Source organism: Homo sapiens, chromosome 11 (genome assembly GCF_000001405.40).
Source record: "Homo sapiens chromosome 11, GRCh38.p14 Primary Assembly".
Classification (NCBI taxonomy): Eukaryota; Metazoa; Chordata; class Mammalia; order Primates; family Hominidae; genus Homo; species Homo sapiens.
Window position 1 is genome coordinate 95035228 of NC_000011.10, and position 21348 is coordinate 95056575.

General features: G+C 42.6%; 1 protein-coding gene, 1 long non-coding RNA gene and 1 pseudogene across 2 annotated transcripts, besides 1 other annotated feature; all 3 read left to right on the forward strand.

Annotated features, from left to right (window-relative positions):
• SRSF8BP (serine and arginine rich splicing factor 8B, pseudogene) lies at window positions 2202-2779 on the forward strand (annotated as a pseudogene).
• LOC107984375 (uncharacterized) lies at window positions 3739-4736 on the forward strand. The gene is made up of 2 exons (XR_001748334.1): window positions 3739-3780; window positions 4118-4736. It is a non-coding gene; the product is annotated as an uncharacterized LOC107984375 (long non-coding RNA).
• Window positions 4737-14194: 9458 nt separating this feature from the next.
• Window positions 14195-16111, forward strand: KDM4F (lysine demethylase 4F). The gene has a single exon (NM_001413755.1). It carries the CDS (start codon window positions 14195-14197, stop codon window positions 16109-16111), a length of 1917 nt encoding a protein of 638 aa, NP_001400684.1.
• Window positions 15483-15647: a silencer, noted in NCBI's record as "fragment chr11:94783874-94784038 (GRCh37/hg19 assembly coordinates)". NCBI's record gives its function as "represses an EF-1alpha promoter that drives an FKBP-Casp9 reporter gene in an ReSE screen in HepG2 liver carcinoma cells {active_cell/tissue: HepG2}" and the evidence as "EXISTENCE:reporter gene assay evidence [ECO:0000049][PMID:32094911]".
• Window positions 16112-21348: the final 5237 nt, after the last annotated feature.

Consider the following 21348-nt stretch of genomic DNA (forward strand, 5'->3'; position numbering starts at 1 on the left):
TCCAAGCTGTAATAAAAAGTCTCCCAGTAAATTAAAGCTGAGGATCCGATGGCTTCACTGCTAAATTCCACCAAACATTTAAAGAAGAACTCATACCAGTCCTACTCAAGCTATTCTGAAAAGCAGAGGAAGAGGAATTACTTACAAACTCATTTTATTTTTTTTCTGAATATTTTTGACCTATAGTTGGTTGAATTCACTGATGCTGAGCCCAGAGGTTACAGAAGGCTGCCTGTATTCTATGACGAGGGATCCATTCACAGATAAGAGGACACATGAGCTCCAGTATACATGTCCAAGCGTGTTCTGAGCAACACTGTAAGAGGCCAAAGTGGAAACAATCCAAATGCCATCAACAGCAGAAACATTTATACTATTGGACACCTTACAGCAGGCAACAGGACCAAGTACAGATACACAGAACAACATAGATGAGGGAAATAAAACAAACAAAAAAACCATTAAACTGCATAAAGCAAAATTCTACTTATATAAGGTTATATAACATTTTCAAAATGAGCAACATTTTAGTAAATTTATTTAGAATTCTTCTGCAGAGGGGTTTTGTCTCTTCTCTCCAATTTGTTAAATTTACTCATTTATTCATAACAGCATGAACTCGCAGGTATTTATTTTATTCTTTGGATTATAATTCAATAATATTTTAGTTATTCTGTTGCTTAACTTGTTTAAGATTTGGCCATTGGGAGCTGTTTTCATTGGTTCTTGTGCTCTTCTAATATAACCCCATAAATGTTCTAACATAACCTCATCAATACTTTTGTTTGTTTTGTGTTTACCACATTCTTATTTTCCAACATTCCAAGATGGCTATAGGCTCTTTCTATATTTCCTGCACAGGTCTAGAAACTTTATTTCTTCATAAGTATTGCCACACCTTTTTTTTTTAACATTATCAGATTGCAGTTTTATTAATCATCTTTAGTCTAGATTGCCTTTTGTTTATAATTCTATCATTGTTTTAATATTTTATGTTATTTGTTTTTACTTACTAATTGCTGGATTTCAACACAAAGATTTATAGGTTTTTAGAAAATATGGATATTAATTTTCAAATAAATATAGTCAGATTAAGTTTTTAAATTTTTGACCTTTAATTTTATTTCAACAAGGTCAAGATTATGCTCAATTTATTAACTTATGGAATTGTAACTGATATTTATTTGTAGCTGCACTGGGAAATTTTTGTAAATGTGTTCTACATATTGAAAAGCATTTTCCATTTGGTTTTTGGTAGTTGCAGGTTACAATGATCACAGTTGTTAAGTTTGTTTGGCAAATTCTATAGCTTTTTTTTTTTGACAAAGTCTGGCTGTCCACCAGGCTGGAGTGCAGTGGCGCCATGTTGGCTCACTGCAACCCCCACCCCCAGGGTTCAAGCGATTCTCCTGTCTCAGCCTCCCCAGTAGCTGGGATTACAGGTGCCCTCAAGCACGCTCGGCTAATTTTCTGTATTTTTAGTAGAGACGGGGTTTCACCATATTGGCCAGGCTGGTCTCGAACTCCCGACCCCAGGTGATCCACCCACCTTGGCCTCCCAAAGTGCTGGGATTACAAAGTGCTTGGCCTCCCAAAGTGCTGGGTGAGCTACCGCGCCCAGCCAAATTATATAGGATTCCTAACTTTGTTCTCTGCACTATTGGTTTCGATTAAAATGCTGTTACATTAAAAAAAAACCAACATCTCCTATGATGATGGCAGACTTTTCAGTTTTACCATCTAAGTCTGAGTCTTGGCTCTCTATGGTCAGTGCCATGTGGTTAGGTGCATAAAGTTCATTACTGTAATATTGTAATATTTTCCTATGAAATTTCTTTTCATTAACTATAAAATGTGCTTCTTTGATCCTATCAATACACTGGATATTAATATTGCTACCCTAGGTTTCTTTTGTTTAATATTTGTTTGGATTGCCTGTTCCCATAAATTGACTTTTAATCACTTAGCGTTGTTTTAAGATTGATTTAAAATGTAGAATAAAAGGGAAGGTTATGGGAGGGTGGGACGTCTAATGTAAACCCAGCCCAGTGATTACATTGGCTGGGCGCTGATTAGGTTAGGATGTTGCCCAGGTATAAAGCCAGGATCTTCGGGACCTGGCTTCATTTGGAGTTCAGCTACCAAGAGGAAACCTTCCTCTGGGTCCTGGAGTATTCGGCCTGAAATTGGGAATTTGGGAATTGCTGCTCTAGAGCGCTCCCTGCGGAGCTCGGCCGCCCGCCTCTCCCCCAGGTCTCTCCTGGCGTCCCCACGCGGGGCGCAACCGCAAGAGAGGAACGCAGGTCGCCCCACCAGCGCCCAGTGCCGCGCCAGTTTCCAGGCCCGGGCTGCTCTCGGAGCCATGAGCTGCGGCCGCCCCCCTCCCGACGTGGATGGCATGATCACCCTCAAGGTGGACAACCTGACCTACCGCACCTCTCCCGACAGCTTGAGGCGCGTGTTCGAGAAGTACGGGCGCGTGGGCGACGTGTACATCCCGCTGGAGCCCCACACCAAGGCGCCCCGGGGCTTCGCCTTCGTCCGCTTTCACGACCGGAGCGACGCGCAAGACGCCGAGGCCGCCATGGACGGGGCGGTGCTGGACGAACGCGAGCTGCGTGTGCGGATGGCGCGCTATGGCCGCCGGGACCTGCCTCGCAGCAGCCAGGAAGAGCCACGCGGCAGGTCCTGGGGCGGCCGCTACGGACGGCGGAGCGGCAGCCCCAGGGGGCGACACCGCAGCCAATCCCGGGGTCCCAGCTACTCTAGGTCCCGCAGCAGATCTCACTATGGGGGGTCTCGCTATAGCCTGTCTATCTACAGGAGATCTCGCTACAGCCGATCTCCCTACAGACGATCTCATTACAGGGGATCTCGCTACGGCCGATCTCCCTACAGTCGATCTTACAGCCGGCATCACTACAGCCGATCTCCCTACAGGGAATCTCGCTACAGGAGGTCTCCCTACATCCGGTCTTCCCGCAGCAGGTCTCCCTACCGCCGCTCTCACTCGAAGTCTGGGTCTCACTCTGCATCTCCATCAACCTCCAAATCCAGCTCTCCGTGAAGATCCAAGTCCTCCTCCATCTCCAGATCTTGCTCATGGTCCAGGTCTAGATCTACGTCCGGGAGTCCTCCCCCGACATCCAAGAGGGAATCCAAGTCCAGGTCGCGATCCAAGAGTCCTCCCAAGTCTCCTGAAGGGGAAAAAGGACAAGTGCCCTCCTAGGAAAATGATCATCAGCTAACGCGTGATGGAGGACTTGGGGAAAAGGACTCCATACTCAGTCCATGGAAGCAGAGTCACTGGAAGAAGCGACTGCGTAATGAAACGGTTGGGTGATATTTGTCTACCTGTTTTACCAGTTTGAAGCGTTGCATCAGATGGCAAGATTCATTTTATGTGCCATTTTTTTGTTTTCAAATTTTCTTGTAATTTAGTGAGGTGAATGACTTTAGATTGGATTTGGGTATTAGAGGGGAAAATTTATATTTGTCTTTTTTGCTTGTTTTTTATTTTTGAGATGTAGTCGAGCTCTGCTGCCCACGCTGGAGTGCAGTGGCGCCATCTGCATCTTCCACCTCCTGGGTTCAAGCAATTCTCAGGCCTCAGCCTCTGGAGTAGCTGGAATTACAGACGCCAGCCACCACGGAGGGCTAATTGTTGGATTTTTGGATTTTTAGTAGAGACGGGGTTTCGCCATGTTGGCCAGCCTGCCCTCAAACTCCTGGGCTCAAGTGATCTGCTCACCTTGGCCTCCTAAAGTTCTGCGATTACAGGTGTGAGCCTCTTCGCCCAGCGTGTATTTGATTCTATAGTGCTGATATTTTTGGTTTGAAATGAACAGGTTGGTAACCTAATTTGTGGCCTCCTGTCTCTTAAGAAATGTGTGCAGCCATTACACACAGCCGAACGCTGTCACGGCATTGCCTCAAAACTGCCTTCATTCCTTAAAGTTAAAAACTTACAAAAGGCGGTATAAATGTATATGTGTAATGTTATTACCTTTATATCTAACTGGTAATATGACCCAAATTTGTATAAAGATTTTTCAGGTGAAAAGACCGGGTTTTGAGCAAACACAATTCTAATCTCTTCTGTGTTTTTGTGTACCAGGCCCGGCTGCATAGCAGTTGAGTGATGCTGGTTAGCTGTTAAGGTGGCCTGTTGCAGTGCAGAGTGCTGAGCTGTTTCCTGTTTTCTTCTGATTGCTCCTGAAAAAAGAAGCCCTGTCCTGAAGAACAAATGGCTGTTCAGTTTATTAAAATGCCTGTCAACTGCCCTTCCAGTCACCCAGGCCTGGAAGAGAAATAATAGAGCATGCAGTGAGCACATCTAGCTGATATGATAATCACACCTCTTCCCCCTCCCTATTCTGTTAAATGGCAAATCTGATCATGTCAACATACATGAACTTAAAATATGGGGAATGTTATGGAAGAAATGGTTTGTAACTGTAGGTACTTACAACATGGTGTATGTTTTTGATTATGAATATTTCTTACTATAACCGTGTTTCTATCATTGAATTAAAATGTTTTCTTGGTGTTACCTTTTCTCAAAATAAAACTAGAAATATTTTGTAGAAAGTTGGTGGTTTTATTTTGCTGTTGGATACTTTCTGCTATTTGTACTTTTGGGAAAATTATGTTACCAAGTTTCTCATAGGATTCAATTATAATTAAAAAAAACTCTACAAGGTTTAGCTATGTGCTTTATTATTTTATCACAATGTAGTTTCTTTGTACACTCTTTCTTTCCTCTTCCTCCCTGTGATTTTTAACTTCTAAAGGTCTTTTCAAAGAATCAGATTTTGATTTTCGTTATTACCTATACTGGGTGTAATATTTTCTTTTGTAATTGTTTCTGCTTATACCTTTATTTTCTTTCCTTTATTTTAATTCATCCCGCTTACTGAGTTGAGTGCTAAATTCAATCATTTTTGAACTTGCTGATTTTTTTCTTTCAGTTCAATTAGATACTCCTCTTTATATATGTTATGATTTGACCTTGAATCCTGATATTAACACACCATACCAATCTGCCATAATCGATCCATCCTGGGTGGTGGAACTGATGGCCTCTGTACAGTTAAAGCTGTGGTTGAAGCCTGCGTGGCGTCACTAAGTTACTAAGGTAGCTTAAATCTCAGCATTTTGTTTGTCACACATTTGTCTTCAAATATTCTGAAATATACTGGACTCGACCACACCAGACGTTTGAAGATTTGGAAAGAAAATACCGGAAGAACCTCAGCCTCCTATTTGATGAAAACAGTAAATAATGTAATCCTGGACACGTAGGAACAATTCAGGACTTTCTGGAGCAGGAATATGAGGTTTTCATCGAAGAGAGTGTCAACACACCCTACCTGTACTTTGGCAATGTGGATGACCACCTTTCCATAGCTCATGGAGGACATGGACCTTTACATCAACTACCATCACTTCAGAGAGCCCCTATATTGGTACGCAGTGCCCCAAAACCATAGTTGGCACCTGGAATGCTCAGTCAGGGAGCTTTTCCAGGTAGTTCTCAGGGTTATGAGGCCTTCCTGTGGCACTAGATGGCCCTCATCGTGCCCACCGTGCTCATGCAGAATGGGATTCCCTTCAATAGCATGAGTCAGGAGGCTGGAGAGTTCACAGTGACATTTCCCTATGACTACAACACAGGCTTCAACTGCAAAGAGGCCATCAATTTAACCACCCAGGATGGGTAGATTATGGCAATATGGCCCCTCAGTGTAGCTGTGGGGAGGACAGGGTGGCCTTTTCCATGGACGCCTTCATGCACATCATGAAACCTGATCATTATGACCTATGGAAAAGCTAGCAAGATGGGGCCATTGTGGATCAAAGGGAGCCCAGGGTGCTGGCCAGCCAGGAGCTCATTACCTGGCAGGAGGACATTGTACCCGGACTGAAGCTCCCCTGGACCTGACTTCTTCTAGGCCTGTGGTCCTGGATGGTGGGACCTACCACTGAGCCCATATGTACAGTTGCAGTTTCCCTGGTTCCCCGTGGCAGCCCAGGAAACTGATGCCCATCCAAAGGTCATTGACCCCAGAGGCTCCCAAGAACACACCGTGGCCCACCATCTATCTTGGGTCTGTTTGCCCTGGTTCTCTGCCTGTCAACTGGAAGAGGTGGTCATGGTGGTCTTCTTCAGGAACTAGGAGCTCAGGAGGGGATCCTCTAGTCTCCCACCAAGTGGCACAGCACACAGAGCTCTTGATCCTGGGGCTTTGCCCCTACTTGGGATGGAACTTTGATAGACAAGCCTGTATCTCTCATGCCTGCATCTCAGTATCCCATCAAGGCTTCCAGGAGCTGCAGTGCCCCCATCTTCAACCTTTGGAGAGACTTTGGATCTGATGCTTTGATGTGTGCGTATCCGACATCCCCAGACAGCATGACACTGAACCACCCTGACTATGTTCCACTGATTCCTCCCAACATCATTATGATGCTGAGAAGATTCTCCAGAGATGCTGCTGGAGAGTGCAAAGCCCCTTGAACCTGGCTGAGGTTGTAGCAATGGACCATTCTTATACCTCTGGGGTCTTGGCCCCAACTGATGTTGTCAGAATATGCTGGGCCCTGACTCATCTCCTGGGGCTGAAGCAAGACAGTGCCGCACCTCTGAATTTGGAGCTATGTGCCTCTGATACATTATCTTAATCCTTTGAACCCATGGCTACTGAATATATTGCCAAATGTGGCTGTCCCTCTGACCATAACCTAACCCTACTAGCCAAAGAAGGCTCCACCCAAGCACAATTTGAGCCTGGGATTGTCTCAGTCTCTTTTACCTTGAAGAACTAATATATACCCAAGGCTACCAGAGGCTGTCTCCTGTTTATTAAATTAATTTTTCCTAGTGTGTATCTACCAAGTAAAGAAAGGAATATCCTGAAAACATATTTTAAAATCACTATTATAAAAGAGATAAACCTAAAGCTAAGTGATTCAGAATGATTGAAAAACAAAAGAATGGGCAAAACTAGATCAAGGAAAATGCAAGCAAAAGAAAAGAGGGGTGGTAGATCTTAACATAAAATGAATAAATTTCAGGTATTTCATATAAGCGCAATGATATAATATCTGTCTTTTTATTTCTAGTTGTTTCACTTAGCATGGTGTCCTCAAGGTGCATCCATGTTGCAGCATGTGTCAGAATTTCCTTCATTTTCAAGGTTGAATAATATTGCATCATATGTATACACCACATTTTGCTTATTCCAATCATCCATGGATGGACACTTGGGTTGTTTCCTCCTTTTGGCTATGTGCATGGTGCTGTTATGAACACTGGTATAAAAGTGTCTGTGTGAGTCCCTGGTAAAACCATTTTAATCATCTTTTAGAAGTTCCATATTCTTCCTTGGACATCATTAATATGCCTTTGCATCTGCCTTGACTGGAGATCTGATATATATCTGTAGTAAATTAGTTTTTAATATCATCTTAATTTCAAAAATTGTAATTAAATTAAATTTAAACGAAATTAAAATGTTAGATTAAAAGTTAATTGTGTCACTTCTCATGAATTTGGGGAAACTTCTGACAGCAACATACCTTGTACTTCTCTACCAACTATATGCACACCAACATTTATTACTATGGGGGAGAATTCATGGATCTCTCAGTTCTATCCTATGTCCCAGGTTTAGGAGTCTAGAGTTTCTTTCAATATCCCCTTATCATGGATGTCTCTGTGGCTTTGAAACAGAATTTTCATTCTTCAAATAGTCAGTTAGAGCCTGGGGAAAGGTGTGCTCCACATCTTTTTATTCCTGCTAGTGGTAACTCACTATGGGTACCATGTGGCTCTGTGGGAAGCTGGGCATGGTGACCAGGTGGCTGTGTGGAGCCAGGAAGCTCTTGCCAAGCTCACAGCCAGCACTGTACATGCACTGAAGCTCACGAGATCCCTTTACCTGGCACAGGACGGGCAGTGCAAAGTTTGTGTGCTTCTGTCAGAGTGAGCGTGGGTGGGTAGTGGGCACTGCTTCTAGTGGGCTTCCTTCTCCCTGGCTTTCTGGTCTCAGAGGCTGCCAAAGTCCTGACTGTATCCACGTAGGGTGAGCACTTGCCCAGAGAATCCAGGGGTGGGTGTCCCAGGCCCCTGTGCTGGGCTCAGGCAGTACTTGGGAGAAGGTTACCCACGGAGTTTTCCGTGCTGGGCTTGTGTTTCTAGGAGGAAATCGGGAGGGGCGGGCATGGGCTGCAGGGTCCAGAGAGGATTGTACCACAGAGGTGGAGAAGAAAGTCCTGGTAAAGTCTCATTTCCCTCCTCTTTTCCTCCTCAGAACAAGCTCCACGAGGACATGGTGCAGGCTTAGGGCCAGAAGGTTGAGATCTAGCCTAGAACCCATGTGAGTTTGATTAAGGAAAAATTATAGTTGGTAAGAAACAAGTTGGAGTAGTGTTTGAAAAACCAGAGAATTTAAGTCACTTATTGTGTTGAGGACAGAAAAGAAATGGACACATATACAGATATAGAAAACAAACAAGTTTAACAAGGTACAATGTATGCACCTGGTAATAGAGAATACTCACCTTTTTCAAGTGCTAATGAATGATTCACAAAATTAGACAATATATTAGGATGAAAACAAAACATCAATAATTTATCAAAAGAAAAAGAAAAAATCAATACCATGCAATAAAACTAGAAATTAGTTTTAAAAATAGAAAATGTAGAGATGCTTTTTTCTGAAAGGTGAATATTCTTTATTGGGCAAGCTTTAGATAAGAGGAAAACACAAGCCAAAACAGCGAAATTCCACTGGCTTTTCAAAGCTGTGGGTTATTTGACATTGTTAATTCATTGGCTCAGTCCAATAAACAAGTCCTCACTAAGTAAGCAAGACAGTTTTTATCAGCAATGTGTGCTGTGCAGAAACTAAAACAGGATTAGATGACAGAGAAGAATGGGCAGGGGCTGCCTGAGCTGTGGGTTCCGGATGGATTCACAGAGCAGGAGACCTTTTTTGAGACCTAGTTGACCAAACGGAAAGTCCAGAGCAGAATTTTCCACTTACAGGGAACAGCAAGTACAATAGACCTACCATGGAAATTAGTGATTTTCTTTTTCCAGGAATACAAAAGAAGCTTACTTGTGTCTCGGGCAGAGAGGGGAAGGGAGAGAGTCTGGGGACAGAACATGTAGAGCTTCATGTTTCAAGTTAAATGCATTATTTGGTGTTCCTTCAACTTGAAGTGAGAAGGCATCAGAAGCTTAAAACAGCAGTTGACAAGATGTGATTGACACATTTAAATAATCAGCTTAGTGGCTCTATGGAGAGTTTGCAAGTAGGAGAAGCAGTTTGACCATTTATAATACAAGTGAGAGTGACAGTTGCTTAGGCTTAATTGTTAGTTTTGAAATTGCATAGCCAGCCTCATCAACATAGTGAAACTCAGTTTCTGCAGAAGAAAGTTAAAAAAAAAATTACCTGGGTGTGGTGGCACACGCCTGTATTCCCAGCTACTCAGGAGGCTGAGAGAGGAGGATCACTTGAGCCTGGGAGGTCAAAGTTGCAGTCAGCCATGATTGCAGCACTGCAATCTAGCCTGGGTGACAGAGCCAGACTCTGTCTTTAAAACCAGCAACAAAAAGGAAGTGCACAAAAGTGGACGGAACATATTTTGGAAATTGAAAATGATAGTTTTCATACAGAAAGAAACATTCTGAGAAGAAAGCCACCTTGCTCGTTAAGTACTATCCGTAATAGGACCCTTCTTTTCTTCCCCTATCAGCATTTCAGTAGGAAATTTTAAAGTTAGAGTAATCAGAAATTGGTGCTTCTCTAAAGTTTTCAATAAACAGCAGAAAAACCCATACCTTCCTGCCTCTTCCATTCATTCAGGCAACTTTGTCTTTCCTAATGTAACAAGAGAAGGAAGTTTATTCTTTGGAAAATTCAACCTGAGAGATGAACTCAGAGACTCCAGGCACAGAGGAGGATGGAGTGAGATGCCTGGCGGAAATGAGGTTAAAGCTAACACTGACATGGTGGAATCACAAGATGAAAGCATGCTGCATTCACAGGAAGGGAGTAGCCCTAGAGAGCTGCTGGACCCACAGCACATCTTGCATGACCAAGGAATAAACTTTTATGTGATAGGTAAAAGCCTCATTGCCTCTGGACTGCAGTCGGCAGACAGCCTTCAGCTGCAGAGAGCTGCCTCACCCAAGGCCATGCCTCTTCCCAATTCGGCTAACATCCCATGACTTCCCGGTAGTGGAAGATAAAGCTTCACCATCTCTGCTCAACCCAGGACAACCTGCAAAGCCATTTGAGCTCCAGAGCTCCCTGCAGGATCGGCTGCCTATCTTTGGCTCTAACCCACAGATCGACATTTCCCTGTGCTCACACCTGCTTCCCCCTCCTCCCTTTCTCAGATACGGATCCAAAGGACACTCTTTAAGAAAGATCTTGGTGCTGACGTCTTAGAGTATGCTCTATAGTAAACCTGACCTGCAAGTGTACTTTAGGTTTGTGTTTAAATGGCATATTTCCTTGAGAGAATAAAGATCAATCACCACCCTGCTGAAATTATATTCCTTCTTTGCATGGTTATTCAGTGATGTGAGGAGATTGAAATGGCCATTTGGGAATCTCAGCTTCCTATGTATGGCATTATTGTTGTGACTCCATTGAAAACATGTTCCTTTGAACACCAGAAGTCATGAGGACAAAAAGCAAACATCTTACATTGGCATGATGAATGAGTCCCTGTTTTATGCCTGGATTTACTGGAACCATGCACTCTGGCTCTGAGAGGAACAGTCTCATGTCCAGAGCAATGGTTTCTCACATGCATTGCTAGTGGGAATATGACATCATACAGCCCCTTTGAAAAACTGTGTCAGTCTTCTATAAACTTGCACACTCATCTGTCTCTGGCAAATCTCCTTCTAGGTATCTGCTCAATTGGTAAGAATGAAGAACTGTGAACAATCCATATATCTCTGAAAAGATGAGTAGAAAAACTATAGTGTATTAAAATATTATTCATCAATTGAAAGGAGTGAACTGCTGGTGCATGCAACAGGATAGATGATCTCACAAACATCCCATATGGGAAAAGTAGCAAAATCCAAGTGAATACATACTGTATGATTCCATTCCTATTCATTCCCAAATCAGGCCATAGTCCCCTGCAATCATAGAACTTAGAAAGTGGTTGCCTCTGGTGGCAAGTTGGGATTGGCTGGAAAGCTTCTGTCCTGCGAGAATCCTATGGGGCTGTGCTAATGTTCTACATCTTTTATGTGTTGATTACATGGGTGTATATAATTTTTAAAACTCACTAAAGTGGAGACCTAAGATCTATGTGTTTTACTGCCTGTATCTTAAACTGGAGAAAAGCAAATAGGAGACAAGACAAGGGCAGCTAGAAAAGTAAGAACCATCTTACTAAATTCTAGAAAGCTCAATCTTGGGTTAGCATGCCAGGCAAGTAGTTGTTTACTCTATTTTTTGTTGTTTTTATTGTACCATTATTTTTCACCGTTTCTTTCTTTTTATGAATGCATTTGATCCTCGGTTGGTTGAATCCACTGCTGCTGAACCCAGAGGATATGGAGGCCTGACTGCCTTCTGTGACCAAGATATCTATTCATAGACAGGAGTACATGTGAGCCCCAAGCGCTATCCATGTCCAAGCATTTTCAGAGCAACATTTTTTGTAAGAGGTCAAAAGTAGAAAGGAACTAAATACCCATTAAAAACGCAAACATTTATACCATTGAATAAATTACAGCAAGGAAACAAGACAAAGTACAGCTGTACAGAAGAACATAGATGAGGGAAATGCCACACAAAAAATACATGAAAATACATAAAACACAATTCTATTTATATTTATATAGGGTCATAACATTTTCAAAATAGACAATATTTTAATTAATTTAATTTGTTTAGAATTCTTAGGAAAGAGAGCTTTGTCACTTCTCAGCTGTTTGTTTACTTAATCTTTAATTTATATCAGTATGAACTCATAGATATTTATTTCATATTTAGGATTATAATTCAATTTACATATTTTCTTGCTCAATTTGTTGGAGATTTGGCCATTGGGAATTGTTTTCCTTCTGTCCCACTGGAAGTAACCGCATTTTTTATTGTGTGTATTTACGGAGTTTTTATTTTCCATGGCTACAAATGCTTTGGGCTCTTTCTGTATATTACTTGCCCAGGTCTAGAAAGTGTTCTTTATCAATACTTCCACTTATGTATTTTTTCTTTAAAAAACTATCAGATTTTAGTTTTATTAATCACCTTTTAGTATACATTTTCCCTTTTATCTTTCTATCATTACTTCTATCTTTCATTTTCTTCTGCAGAATTTTGTTCCATTTTGTTTTTACTCACTGCTTGAGTTCAAAGTGAAGATCAATAGGATTTTAGAAATGTGCATATTAATTTTCAAATAAATATGGATTCAAATAAATTTGGATTCAGGTTTTGTATTGTTGACTTTCAATTTCATTTCATTTTGGCCAGTATATTCATTTAATATAATTTTTATTTGATATTTACTTTGTAGTCCTATATTGGTAAATTTATCTATTATAAACGTTACCTATGTACCGAAAAGCATTTCACATTTGCTTTTTAATTGTTACAATCTCTATCCTCAAAGTTCTTAAGCTTGTACATATTACTAAACATTAATTTTCTGCTCTACCTTATTGGTTTCTGAAAGGATAATGTTAAACACACACACACACACACAACTCCCAGCACGATTGCAGATTTTACTGTTTGACCTTACAACAACTCTCAGTCTTGGCTTCAGTGTGTCACTGTTGTGTGGTTAGGTGCATAAAGTTCATCCCTATAATATTTTTCTATGAATTTTTTTTCGTTAACTATAAAATGTCCCTCTTGGATCTTATATATACACTGGATATTAATATTGTTACCCTCGGTTTCTTTTAGTATTTATTTAGATTCCCTGTTCCCATAACTTGACTTTTAATCACTTAGCATTGTTATAGGATTTAAATGTAAAACAAAAGGGAGAGGCACAAACGGGTGGGATGCCTAATCTGGACCCAGCCCAGTGATTACATTAGCTGGGCACTGATTGGGTTAGGATGCCGCCCAGGTATAAAGCCAGGGTCTTTGCAACGTGGGGCTGCATTTGGAGTTCAGCTACCAAGAGGAAACCTTCTCTCTGGGTCCTGGAGTATTTTCATCAGGAATTGTGAGTTTTTGGTGGAAGTTAGGTCATTTTATTTCTCTGTTGGAGCACTTTTTGATATTTGTCCTACTGAGAAAATTATTCTCACTCAAGTTGCTCATAAGTTTCAGTTAAAATTTTTAAAACATCTCAGCAAGATTTTTAGCTATGCCCCCTAAGTTATCTCAATTGTTTCATTTGTATTTTCTTTTCTCTTCATGCCTATGGCTTTTTACTTCTCACCATCTTTTTAAAAAGTCAAGTTTTAGCTTTTTGTCATCATTCCTATTGGAGGTTCTGTTTCCTTTTGCAATGGTTTCTGCTTGTGTCTTTATTTTCATTGTTTCCTTTGATGTTAATGCATCCAGTTTCTTGAGTGGATTGCTTAATTCATTCCTTTGCAAACTTGATCATTTTCACTCTTAGTTTGATTAGATGCTGCTCTTTTTCTGTTTTATTATTTGACCTTATATCCTGATGTTAACACAGCATACCCTTTAGTTTAGCTTAATACTAGCTGAGTATTTCTTTTGTCTGGTTATACATGTATTTTCAAATATTCTGTATTTTGTGTTGTTATTTAGGTTTACTGATTTGATTTCCTAGAAGAGACGCCCGGGTACAGTGCAGTTACCAGCAACTGGGGCACCCAAGCCTGAGAATCAAGAGAAGCCTCACAGTGACACCCCCAACTGAGGAAACTCACAGAGCTGCAGGTGGAGCTGGGACTCCAGCTGGGGTGCCTGCCCCACTGGGACATATTCTATTTTCTTTGGACAAAAAAATACTGACTACAGCAGAGTCCCCCTGGGAAGTCAGAAGCCTCTGAAAGATCTCACTTGTTCAAAAGTTCAAGTGTGAATTACTCCCTCACAGATAAACCAAAGTATTTTGAAAAAACAAAGCAGAGAAAAGAAATTCCTCCCCAGCACTCTCAGGCATTTGGAGGACACCGAAGAACTTGGGAGTCAGCTGCTTCTTGTGTGCAGCCATGAAGTCTGTGCACTCCAGTCCCCAGAACACGAGTCATACCATCATGACGTTTTACCCAACCATGGAAGAATTTGCAGATTTCAACACATATGTTGCTTACATGGAGTCCCAAGGCGCACACCGAGCTGGCCTCGCCAAGGTAATTCCACCCAAGGAATGGAAAGCCAGACAGATGTATGATGATATTGAAGACATCTTAATAGCCACTCCCCTCCAGCAGGTGACCTCTGGGCAGGGAGGTGTGTTTACTCAATACCATAAAAAGAAGAAAGCCATGAGGGTGGGGCAGTATCGCCACTTGGCAAACAGTAAAAAATATCAGACTCCGCCACACCAGAATTTTGCAGATTTGGAGCAACGATACTGGAAGAGCCACCCCGGTAATCCACCAATTTATGGTGCTGATATCAGCGGCTCCTTATTTGAAGAAAGCACTAAACAATGGAACCTAGGACACCTGGGAACAATTCTGGACCTGTTGGAGCAGGAATGTGGGGTTGTCATCGAGGGTGTCAACACACCCTACCTGTACTTTGGCATGTGGAAGACCACGTTTGCTTGGCACACGGAGGACATGGACCTTTACAGCATCAACTACCTGCACTTTGGGGAGCCCAAAACTTGGTACGTGGTGCCCCCAGAACATGGTCAGCGCCTGGAATGCCTGGCCAGGGAGCTCTTCCCAGGCAATTCCCGGGGCTGTGAGGGCTTCCTGCGGCACAAGGTGGCCCTCATCTCGCCTACAGTTCTCAAAAAGAATGGGATCCCCTTCAATCGCATGACTCAGGAGGCTGGGGAGTTCATGGTGACTTTTCCCTATGGCTACCATGCTGGCTTCAATCACGGCTTCAACTGCGCAGAGGCCATCAACTTTGCCACTCCACGATGGATTGATTATGGTAAAGTGGCTTCACAGTGTAGCTGTGGCGAGGCGAGAGTGACCTTTTCCATGGATGCCTTCGTGCGCATCCTGCAACCCGAGAGCTATGAGCTCTGGAAACACAGGCAAGACTTGACTGTTGTGGATTACATGGAGCCCAGGGTTGCAGAAAGCCAAGAGCCGAGCAACTGGAGGGAGGACATAGCACTTAGGAGAGCTGCTCTGGGCCTGAGGCATCTCCGGAACCACATAACCAGCTGTCCCACACGGACTGTGGCCCCAAGGCTCTGTTACAACCCAAAGGGCGGTGGTACCGATGCTGTGCCTGGATCTGCAATCCAAGCCCTGGAGACGTCAGCCTGGGTTCTTCCCCCTTCCACTGGAAGGTGGGGTCCTTGTCGTGGCTGTGGTCGTGGTCGAGGTCGTGGTCGAGGCCGTGGTCGTCGTCCTCGAGAACTGGGGACTGAGGAGACAACTGTTCAGTCTGCAGCTAAGAGGCGCCTCTCAGTGGGGACAGGGAGCAGAGCTCCAGGCCGCAAACCTCAGCTCCAGTTCGCCGATGAAGCTTTGACAGACAAACCCGCACCTTTGAGCGGTGGCCTTCCGCATTTTGCAAAGGCTTCTGGCTGCTGTTGTGCCCCTGATCTTCAACCCCTGGGGCCCCCACTGGATCCTGATGAACCCATGCACCCTGGCCCCTGCCTGCTATCCCTCGACAGCACTGCTAGTAGTCTTCCTCTTGTTGTCCCTATGACTCCTCCCAGTGTCACTGTGCCTTTGATTACATTGTCCAGGGACACTGGTGGAGACTGGAAATCCCCGGTGAATCTGGCCAAGGTTGTAGCAATGGACCATTCTTATGCCTCTAGGGTTCCGGTCCCAACTAAGTTTTCCAGGATCTCCTGGGCCCCTGACTCATCTGCTGGGGCTAAAGCCAGACAGAGATACGCCACTGAATTTGGAGATATTTTCCTCCAATGCATGATCAATCCTCTGGACCCATGGCCATTGAATATGGTGTCAAATGTCAAGTGATATCTACTTCTTATCCCAACCCCAGGAATCAGAGAAGATTCCTGCCAAGCACAATTCTGGCCTGGGCCTCTCCACAGTGAAGATTCTTTACCTCCAATAACTGACGAATTTCCAAGGCCCCCAGATGCTGTCTCCAATTGTGACAACCAGGGCTCCCAGAGGTCATTGAATTCCCCACCCCAAAGGTTGCCGTAGGATGTTGTAATATCTCTCAGGGACTCTCTGTCTCCTCCTAATCATTGTGCCTGTGGCCTTCACCATGGCCAGATGCCACAGACAGCACTTGTTGCTTTTGTGCCCTCAGGATACCTCCCTTACAGTGCTATGGGTCCAGATCCCACAGTAATTTGGACTCACATTGGATGATGCTGAGAATCTCACTGAATCCCTAATTTTTACCTTCCATTTGGTCCTCTGTTTCTCTGGCCCTGGATTCCACTGGACATTGCTACAGCCTCAGGGAGTTTTGGGGCTTCTCACAATCCTTCAACTGCAACATGCACTCCACCCCAGGCCACGATCCACTGTACATGCACAAAACTAGACCTGTAGACCAACTGAGTTTGCTAGCCATTCATGGCCCCAGAGATATTTTGTAATGTTTTTGATATGTATTAAATTTGCTATCTCTAGTGTGTATCTGCAAAGAAAAAAAATTCTTAATACATGTTTTTAATATTAGAATTATATAAAAGATGTATCAAAAAAAGTGATGAAGAAAAGTGATTGAGATAAAGGAATGGCAAAAGTATACCTAGGAAAGAACAAACATAAAAGTAGAGTCACAGATCTTAATGTCAGTCTAAGCTGAATGAAGACCAAAGGTACATAGAAGACTTCTCTTCAATGTAAAAGGCTAAATTTCGCAATGAAATTGCAGCAGTCATGAATATTGAAGTAAATTTGATAAAGTGTGACTCATATAAAACAGAAAGAGACTCATTAAACACAGGCACATTGAAGTCACTGACATGGTTTAAATCTCATGTGGAACTGTAATCCCCAGTGTTGGATTTAGGGCCTGGTGGGAGGTGATTGGATCATGGGGGCAGTTTCTCGTGAACGGTTTTGCACCATCACCCTGGTGTTGTTCTCCCATTAGAATTCTCACAAGATCTCATTGTTTAAAAGTCTGTAGCATGGCTGGGTGTGGTGGCTCATGCCTATAATCCCAGCACTTTGGGAGGCTGAGGCGGGCGGATCACCTGAGGTCAGGAGTTTTATACTGGCTTGGCCAACATGGTGAAAACCCATCTCTACTAAAAATACAAAAATTAGCTGGGCATGGTGGTGGGCACCTGTAATCCCAGCTACTTGGGATGCTGAGGTGGGAGAATCACTTGGACCTGGAAGGTGGAGGTTGCAGTGAGCCAAGATCATGCCACTGCACTCCAGCCTGGGTGACAGAGTGAGACTCCACCTATAAATAAATAAATAAATAAATAAATAAAAGTGTGTAGCACCTCCCCCCCATCTTTCTTCTTTCTGCTCCAGACATATGAGATGTGCCTGCTTCTCCTTCATCTTCTGCCATGATTGTAAATTTCCTGAGGCCTATCCAGAAGCAGAAGCTTCTATGCTTTCTGTATAGCCTTCAGAACCATGACCCAAATAAAACTGTTCTACATAAATTACCCAGTCTCAAGTATTTTTCCTACAGCAATGAGAGAACGAACTGATACAGCAAATTGGTACCAGGAATAGGTAATTGTTACAAAGATTTCTGAAAATGTAGAAGTGGCTTTGGAATTGGGTAATCAGCAGACGTTGGAAGAGTGTGGAGGGCCCAGAAGACTATAGGAGGTTGAGGGAAAGTTTGGAACTTCCTAGACACTTGTTACATTGTTGTGACCAAAATCATGATAGTGATATGGAAAATGAATTCCAGTGTGAGTAGGTCTCAGATTGAGAAGAAGAATTTATTGAGAACTGGAGCAAAGTTTACTTCTGTTATGTGTTAGCCAAGAGGTTGGCTGCACTGTGCCCCTTTCTAAGGATCTGTGGAACTTTGAACTTGAGAGTGATGATTTAGGGTATCTGGCAGAAGGAATTTTTAAGCAGCAAAGAGTTTAAGATCTGGCCTGTCTGCTTCTAACAGCCTAGGCTCACATTCATGAACAAAGAAATGACCTGAAAGTGGAACTTATATCCAGTTCCAGTGAAGCAGAGTACAAAAGGGCAGCAAAATGTAAAAGTTCAAGGAATTTGCAGCCTGGCCATGTAGCAGAAGAGAAAAGCACATTTTTAGGGGAAGAATTCAAGCTGGCTGCAGAAATGTACATCACTAAAAGGAAGACAAGTATTAGTAGCCAAAATATTAAGAAAAACATCTTGAAGGCATATCAGAGACCTTCGTGGCAATGCTTCCCATCACAAGCCTGGATGTCTAGGAGGACAGAATGGTTTTGTGGACCATGCTTAGAGCCCTGCTGTCCTGTACAGCCTGTGGACACTGCTGCCTGCATCCCAGTTGCTCCAGCTCTAGCTGTGGCTCAAGGGGCCCAGGTAGAGCTCAGACCATTTCTTCAGAGTGTGAAAGCCATAAGCCTTGGAGGCTTCCACGTGGTGTTAAGTTCAAGGGTGCACAGAATGCTAGAATTGAGGGTTGAGAGCTTCTGCTTAGATTTCAGAGGATGTATGGAAAAGCCTGCATGTGCAGGCAGGAGTCTGCTGCAGGGGCAAGGGTCTCACAGAGAACCTCCACTATAGCGGTACAGAGCAGAAATGTGAGGTTGGAACCCCCACACGGAGTCCCCACTGGGTACTGCCTAGCAGAGTTGTGAGAAAAGGATCACTTTCCTCCAGATCCCTGAATGGTAGACCAACCAGCAGTTTCCACCCTACTTCTGGAAAAGCTGCAGGCACTTAACACAAGCCCATGAGGGCAGCTGCAGGGGCTGAACCCTGCAAAGACACAGGAGCACAGCTATGCAAGTCCTTGGGAGTACACACCATGCACTATTGTGCTCTGGATATGAGACGTGGAGTCCAAGGAGCCTATTTTGGAAGTATAAGATTTAATGTCTGCCCTGCTAGGTTTCAGACTTGCTTGGGGTCTCTAGCTTCTTTCTTTTGGCCGATTTCTCCCTTTTGGAACAGGAGTCTTTACCCAATGCCTGTACCCCCACTCTATCTTGGAAGTAATTAACTTGTTTTTGATTTTACAGGCTTATAGTCAGAAGGGATTTGCCTTGTCTCAGATGAGACTTTGGACTTTGGACATTTCCGTTAATGCTGAAATGAGTTAAGACTTTGGGGAACATTTGAGAAGGCATGATTATATGTTGCAATGTGAGAAGGGCATGAGATTTAGGAGGGGGCCAGGGGAGGATTGATATGGTTTGGGTCTGTGTCCCCACTCAAATCTCACATAGAATTGAAATCCTCAGTTTTGGAGGTGGGCTCTGGTGGGAGGTGATTTGCTTGTAGCGGTGGTTTCTCATGAATGGTTCAGCACCATCCCCCTAGTGCTGTTCTTGTGATAGAGTTCTCACAAGATCTTGTTGTTTAAAAGTGTGTAACACCTCCCGCCGGCCTTCCTCCTGCTCCCACCATGAAAGATGTGCCTACTTCCCCTTTGCCTTCCATCATGATTGTAGGTTTCCTGAGTCCTCCCCCAAACCAGACACTGCTATGCTTCCTGTACAGTCCACAGACCTGTGAGCCAATTAAACCTCTTTTCTTTATAAATTACCTGGGTATATTCTTTATAGCAAAGTGAGAATGAACTAATATAGACACCTTATTCATCCAAGCCAGAAAAAATAGAGAAACCTAAGGATATGAAAAACTTAGATAACATTAACAATAAGGTAGAATTGACAAACCAGATGATAGAAAATACTTCCTCTCTTCAGGTGCTGTTGACAGCTGTTGTGATACCTCTGGTTCTTCTTAGTTTAAAATAAATTAAACAAGAGACATACAGCAAAAGAAGAACAGCATAGAGTAATTTATTGTGAAAGAAAAATAATATTTTGAAAGTTAAGTGCAGAATAGACTGTACACACTGAGAGTGAAGGAATTCAGGGAGGGCTGCTTGTTAGGGTGAGACAGCATTGATTATTGCTGGAGAAACCCCCATTATGGGAGTTTTACATGGTTATTCATAAGGAGGTGGTAACAGGTGTTACTAGTAAGCAGGTCCTGATGGTCTTCTGTACATGTACAGTAGCTGTACATGCTTATTCATACATCCCATGTCTCATTAGCATCTTAAATCTCCACCCATGGGTGTGTTTTTTACTATTGTAATGAGCAAAAGATCAGTTTGAGGACAGGTAAAATCAAAATGTGCATGCTCTCTGGAAGGGAAAGTCCCTACTAAAGATAGCTTTGCTTGAGTGAGCTCGGTTACAATATGACTGCTAAGGCTTATTGTATTGGCTCTATGGTCACCACGGTCACTGCATCCCAAGTATATGTCAGGTCCTTGACAACCTATCCTGCCAAAGAATCAATCACAAAATTTGACAATATATCAGTGTGAATAGAAAATATCAATATCTTCTTTAAACAAAATGAAAAAAATTCAAACATTCTGAATTATCATGCAATAAAATTTGAAATATTTTTGAAAGTCAGAAAATGTACAGGTCCTTTTCCTGGTAGGTTAAATTTTTTTATTGAATGGATCTCAGATTTGAGGGAAGCACAAATCATAAAAGCCAAATTTCCACAAAACAATAAATATCTATTAAGAATATGAACTGTAGAGCAAGATAGTCTGATTTTGAATTCCAGCTTCTCTTACCAGCTAGTGTGACCTTGAAAATTACTTAATGACTCAGTTTCCTCAATGTAAAATGGAGATAGCACCTACCTCATGTGTTTAGTTGACAGTTCTATGAGTGAATATAGTAATTTGTTAATGCCAATGCCTGGAATACAATAAGCATTTACTGGAGTGTTTTTAAATTTAAAACTTAATAACATACAAAAAGGAATATATGAAATTCATTTAGAACAGTGCTGAGGGGAAAACTTGCAGCCTTAATTATTTTCTTCATCACATTCAAATAATAAAATTAACTGGATTAAGCTTCTGATTTACAAGTTAGGAAAAGATCAATTATATGAAAGTAGCAAGAAGGAATTGATATGCATATACATAGAAAATGAGTCAGAATAACTAAAATAATAAATCAACATAAAGCTCCAATGATATGTATGTTTTTAGAAAAATTAACTTACTACATAGAAAGTTTAAGACATAAATTTCTGTGTATGAAATACAG